We start from the raw sequence: 6214 nt of genomic DNA on the forward strand, positions 1-6214 counted from the left end.
GTCTCAGGCAGGCTTCAGTTTGGTGGACACCAACTTGTGACTTCTGATCTCAAGCGAGGGAGTCGGAGAGGACCTTTCCATGTTAACTGTTAAATGGTTTGGGCAGGAATTGCCTGATAAATTAATTCCTAGAAATAGTTATGTGTGAACTTTGACCTGGGAGTTGATTTCTACATTGAGATGTAATTAATTTTCAGTAAGTATGTTAGTGATAATTTGGGGGTAAGAAATGGGGGTAGTATTTCTAGAGTAGAAGCAGTGTGAAAACAGGACCACAGAGGCAGGAGCCATGAAGCAGATTTAGTTGCGCACTTTCTCTGGAAAAATGTAGGCCCCTGAAAACAGATATTGCAGAGAGCTCTCGGCCTTTCCACAGCGCACTGAATGGGGATTTCGGACATTTTATTTAGATATCAAGTGAAATACAATTCAAACAGGATAGAGAACTTAGGGACTTAGAATAATGATTGACATTTAGCAAGCCCTCAATAAATGTTAGCTCTTGTAATTAACTACTGTTTTCTAGAATATGTATGGAAACTCAGATCACTTGGCCAGGATGCAACACCTGCCAAAAAACAAAGGAAGCGCAATCACTTTTCAAATCCAAAGGAAAAGACTTGGAGTATATGTGGTTTAAAAAATGTCTGCACTGAAGCAGGAGGATCACTTGAGCCCTGGAGTTCAAGACCAGCCTAGGCAACACAGCAAGACTCCATCTTTATAAAAAAAATTTAAAAATTAACCAAGTGTGCTGGCATGTGCCTATAGTCTCAGCTACTCAGGGCTGAGATGGGAGGATTACTTGAGCACAGGAGGTAGTGGCTGCAGTGAGCCATGATTGAGTCACTGCACTCCAGCCTGGGCAAGAAAGTGAGACCCTGTCTCAAAAAAATAAAAAATGAAAAGAAAAATGTCTGCAAATTATTATTATTATTATTATTATTTTATTATACTTTAAGTTCTAGGGTACATGTGCACAACATGCAGGTTTGTTACATAGGTATACATGTGCCATGTTGGTTTGCTGAACCCATTAACTCATCATTTACATTAGATAGTTCTCCTAATACTATCCCTCCCCCTGCCCCCCACCCCACGACAGGCCCCCACTTGTGATGTTCCCCACCCTGTGTCCAAGTGTTCTCATTGTTCAATTCCCACCTATGAGTGACAACATGCGGTGTTTGGTTTTCTGTCCTTGTGATAGTTTGCTCAGAATGATGGTTTCCAGCTTCATCCATGTCCCTGAAAAGGACATAAACTCATCCTTTTTTATGGCTGCATAGTACTCCATGGTATATATGTGCCACATTTTCTTAATCCAGTCTATCATTGATGGACATTTGGGTTGGTTCCAAGTTTTTGCTATTGTGAATAGTGCCACAATAAACACACATGTGCATGTGTCTTTATAGTAGCATGATTTATAATCCTTTGGGTATATACACAGTAATGGGATCGCTGGGTCAAATGGTATTTCTAGTTCTAGATCCTTGAGGAATCGCCACACTGTCTTCCACAATGGTTGAACTAATTTACACTCCCACCAGAAGTGTAAAAGCTTTCCTATTTCTCCACATCCTCTCCAGCAACTGTTGTTTCTTGCCTTTTTAATGATTGCCATTCTAACTGGTGTGAGATGGTATCTCATTGTGGTTTTGATTTGTGTTTCTCTGATGACCAGTGATGATGAGCATTTTTTCAATTGTCTGTTGGCTGCATAAATGTCTTCTTTTGAGAAGTGTCTGTTCATATCTTTGGCCACTTTTTGATGGGGTTGTTTGTGTTTTTCTTGTAAATTTGTTTGAGTTCTTTGTAGATTCTTGTTACTAGCCCTGTGTCAGATGGGTAGATTACAAAAATTTTCTCCCATTCTGTAGGTTGCCTGCTCATTCTGATAGTGGTTCTTTTGCTGTGCAGAAGTTCTTTAGTTTAATTAGATCCCATTTGTCTATTTTGGCTTTTGTTGCCATTGCTTTTGGTGTTTTAGACATGAAGTCCTTGCCCATGCCTATGTCCTGAATGGTATTGCCTAGGTTTTCTTCTAGGGTTTTTATGGTTTTAGGTCTAACATTTAAGTCTTTAATCCATCTTGAATTAACTTTTGTATAAGGTGTAAGGAAGGGATCCAGTTTTAACTTTCTACATACGGCACCCGCCTGTATGTGGTGTCAGTCAGCCCATACTGGGAGGTGTCTCCCAGTTAGGCTACACGAGGGTCAGGGACCCACTTGAAGAGGCAGTCTGTCCGTTCTCAGAGCTCAAACAACCTGCTTGGAAAAGCACTGCTCTCTTCAGAGCTGTCAGACAGGGACGTTTAAGTCTGCAAAAGTTTCTGCTGCCTTTTGTTCAGCTATGCCCTGCCCGGAGGTGGGGTCTACGGAGGCAGCAGGCCTTGCAGAGCTGTGGTGGGCTCTGCCCAGTTTGAGCTTCCTGGCCATTTTGTTTACCTACTCAAGCCTCAGCAATGATGGACGTCCCTCCCCCTGCTAGGCTGCTGCCTCGCAGGTTGATCTCAGTCTCTGCACTAGCAGTGAGCAAGGCTCTGTGGGCATGGGACCTGTCGAGCCAGGTGCGGGATATACTCTCCTGGTGTTCCATTTGCTAACACCGTTGGAAATGCACAGTATTTGGGTGCCAGCATCCTGATTATCTAGGTACAGTCTGTCATGGCTTCCCTTGCCTATGAAAGGGACATCCCCCAACCCCTTGTGCTTCCCTGGTGAGGTGATGCCCCACCCTGCTTTGGCTCGCCCTCCGTGGGCTGCACCCACTGTCCAACCAGTCCCAGTGAGATGAACTACGTACCTCAGCTGGAAATGCAGAAATCACCATCTTCTGTGTTTATCACGCTGGATGCTGCAGACTGTAGCTGTTCCTATTCAGCCATCTCGGAACAGAGAGGCAAATGTCTGCAAATTCTTAAACACCCCTCCAGTGAGGATGTGGAATCTGTTTCTCTTCTACCTGACTATGAACTTGACTTAGTGACTCACTTCATTTTTTAGAGATGGGGTCTCTCTCTCGAGTGCAGTGGTGCCATCATAGCTCACTGCAGCCTTGAACTCCTGGCCTCAAGTGATCCTCCTGCCTCAGCCTGTTAAGTAGCTAGGACTACAGGTGCACACCACCATGCTCAGTTAATTTTTAAAAAATGTTTTTTGTTAGGCAGGGTCTAGCTATGTTGTTCAGGCTATGACTCACTTCTAATCAATAGAATGCTTGAGAAGTGAAACTATAACTTCTAAGGGCCAAGTCATAAAAAGTAATAGAGCTTTCGACTCTCTCTTGCTCTCTCTCAACATGCCTTAGGAGCTGAGTCACCAAGTTGAAAGTTCACCTACTCTGAAGCCACCATGCTGGAGAAACCATGTGGTGAGCCCACATATTGATAGAGATACCAGAGGAGCTCCAGAGGGTCCAGCCCCCAGTTTTTTGAGTTATCCTAGGCTGGGTACCAGATGTGTGAGTAAGTAGGCTTCGAGATGCCTCCAGCCTCAGCCACAGTCTGATTACAATTTTCTCAATTCTTGAGAAAGAATTGTCTAGTTTAGCCCAGTCTACCCCCAGAATCTTGAGGGATAATACCACTAAATTTGGGGGAGGATTGTTAAGCAGGAAAAGATAACTGGAATAATGTTCTCACCTCCTGCTGTATATGAAAAAAATTGTTTTAAGTTAGCTACATTGCCTACTATAAAAAGGGAGTCATTTATACTGAAATTTCTTTCATATTCATGCCTTTAAATGACTAAGAGATTATGGGATTTAGGGAAGAAGTTGATACGTAGGATAGGGATTTAATTTATTTTAATTCAGGCTTATGACCGATTTTTAGAAACAGAAAAGATCTTCCAAATCTCTTCCTCAGAGCAAATTTTTTTTGTATGTAAGGGCTTTGAGATATCTACTACTTGATTGTACGTGGAATAGCTCATAAGATTGCACTTTTTGGCGGATGATAGATGCAACGTCCAAATACTCTGAATTTGAGGCTGCAAGGAGGAAGGACGCTACTGCTTTCTTCAAGGTGTTCATGGTTAGGCTGTGGAAAACACATGGATTGAGCAGATGGCACTTATTCCCAGCCACTGACCAGCCTTCCGTTCAGTGGCATTAAAAGATGCTTTAAAATGTCAGCCTTTCCCAGGGAATGTTTATTCCGTTTATGTTTATTCATAAACATAATGTTTATTATGTATATTATTTATATATAATATATATTACATATAACATAATAATATATATTATATATAATATATATTACATATAACATAATAATATATATTATATATAATATATATTACATATAACATAATAATATATATTATATATAATATATATTACATATAACATAATAATATATATTATTTATATATAATATATATTACATATAACATAATAATATATATTATTTATATATAATATATATTACATATAACATAATATATATTATTTATATATAATATATATTACATATAACATAATATATATTATTTATAAATAATATATATTACATATAACATAATAATATATATTATTTATATATTGTTTATATATAACATTATGTTCAAGTTGGGTTAGTTCCAGGAATGCCTGAGCAATGTGAGGAGGGTGGCTGCATGGGGATATGGTGGTAGCAACAGGAGATTGGTATGTAACCAACACAGGATATTGCACAGTTATATCGAATCCAACACAGTTATGTAGAAGGGATTGACCCAATAAGTAAATATATTGGGGATAATGGAAGGCAGATTTCTCACTATTGGAGAAAGGAGTTACAAATATGCAAAGGAAAAAAACCAGAATGAACTTTGTAGTGTTGGCTTGGAACTGGAGGTATCAGTATAAACTCATCATTTTGTAAGTATATAGATATATAGATATAAAGACAGAGAGAAATAAAAAATGCACTTGTGTGTGTACACATGTATTCCCTAGCACTGTCCACTGAGAAAGCCTGAGACAGTAACACTTTAAAATCGATGAACACAGCACTAATTGGAATAATGAGTGATTCCAGGCTCAAGTTAGGGAAGTAATGAAACTTTATTTACATAAACAAGTAGTATGCTGGATTTGGCCAGCATGATACACACACATACACACACACACACACACACACACACACACACACACACACACATATATATCTTGTTCTTTTTTATGGCTGCATAGTATTCTATGGTGTATATGTACCATATTTTCCTTATCCAATCTGTCATTGATGGACATGTAGGTTAATTCCATATCTTTGCTATTGTGAATAGTGCTGCAATGAACATATACGTGCATGTGTCTTTATGGTAGAATGATTTCTATTCCTTTGGGGATATACCCCAATAATGGGATTCCTGGGTTAAATGGTAGTTCTGTTGACTCTTTGAGTAATCACCACACTGCTTTCCATAATGGTTGAACTAATTTACATTCCCACCAGTAGTGTATAAGTGTTCCCTTTTCTCCGTAACCTCTCCAGTATCTGTTATTTTTTTACTTCTTAATAGCCATTCTGACTGGCAGCATGCCATATTTTGCGATGTCCTATTCCAACATACTCAGGGTGATGGGGTATTATGTCAGCTATTTACTTTCAAATTGTTCAGGAAATAAAAAATTCTCTATACTAGTCTTGCAACTTTTCTGTGAGGTCAAAATTATTTCAAAATAAAAATTATTAAAATTAAAGACATTTTCAGACCAATAGATTGAGAAAGCTCATCATTCATGAGCTCTTACAGAAAGAACTGCAAATAATAAGTATCTACTTTAGGAAAAAGAAGATTGAATGAGGAAGAAAAAAGAGTGCTTTAGAACAAAATAATTGTTAATTGTTAAACATATTGCTAAATAAATATTGACTAATTCTGAAAAGACTAATTTTGGAGTGTTAAAAAACAGTTAACAACAGCAAAAGGATAGCAAAATAGGGGGCAAGTTTTTCTCAGGTCTTTGTGTCTTTTGAGATGTATTGACTAGCTTTATACTTTGTTTAGTCTAAACTCCGCAAAAGAATAGATACAGAAATTCAATCAAAATAGAGAAGGAAAAAGGGAATAAAGAAAAACTATCAATCTAATAAAAACTATAATCTAATATTTGATATCAATCTAATAATATCAAACTATCAATCTAATCTAAGAAATGAAGAAAAATAAGCAAGGAAGAAGGTAGTTTATTTAAAAACCCACAAATAAAATAGTGGGAA

General features: G+C 38.1%; 2 annotated features.

The window, feature by feature from the left end:
• Positions 2426–3625: an enhancer, noted in NCBI's record as "P300/CBP strongly-dependent group 1 enhancer chr3:122387501-122388700 (GRCh37/hg19 assembly coordinates)". NCBI's record gives its function as "activates an origin of replication core promoter dependent on BRD2, BRD4, P300/CBP, MED14 and CDK7 cofactors, with strong dependence on P300/CBP, by STARR-seq in HCT116 cells {active_cell/tissue: HCT116}" and the evidence as "EXISTENCE:reporter gene assay evidence [ECO:0000049][PMID:35650434]".
• Positions 3051–3100: an enhancer, noted in NCBI's record as "active region_20381". NCBI's record gives its function as "activates an Ori minimal core promoter by ATAC-STARR-seq in GM12878 lymphoblastoid cells {active_cell/tissue: GM12878}" and the evidence as "EXISTENCE:reporter gene assay evidence [ECO:0000049][PMID:35858748]".

Source organism: Homo sapiens, chromosome 3 (assembly GCF_000001405.40).
Source record: "Homo sapiens chromosome 3, GRCh38.p14 Primary Assembly".
NCBI classification, from domain to species: Eukaryota; Metazoa; Chordata; class Mammalia; order Primates; family Hominidae; genus Homo; species Homo sapiens.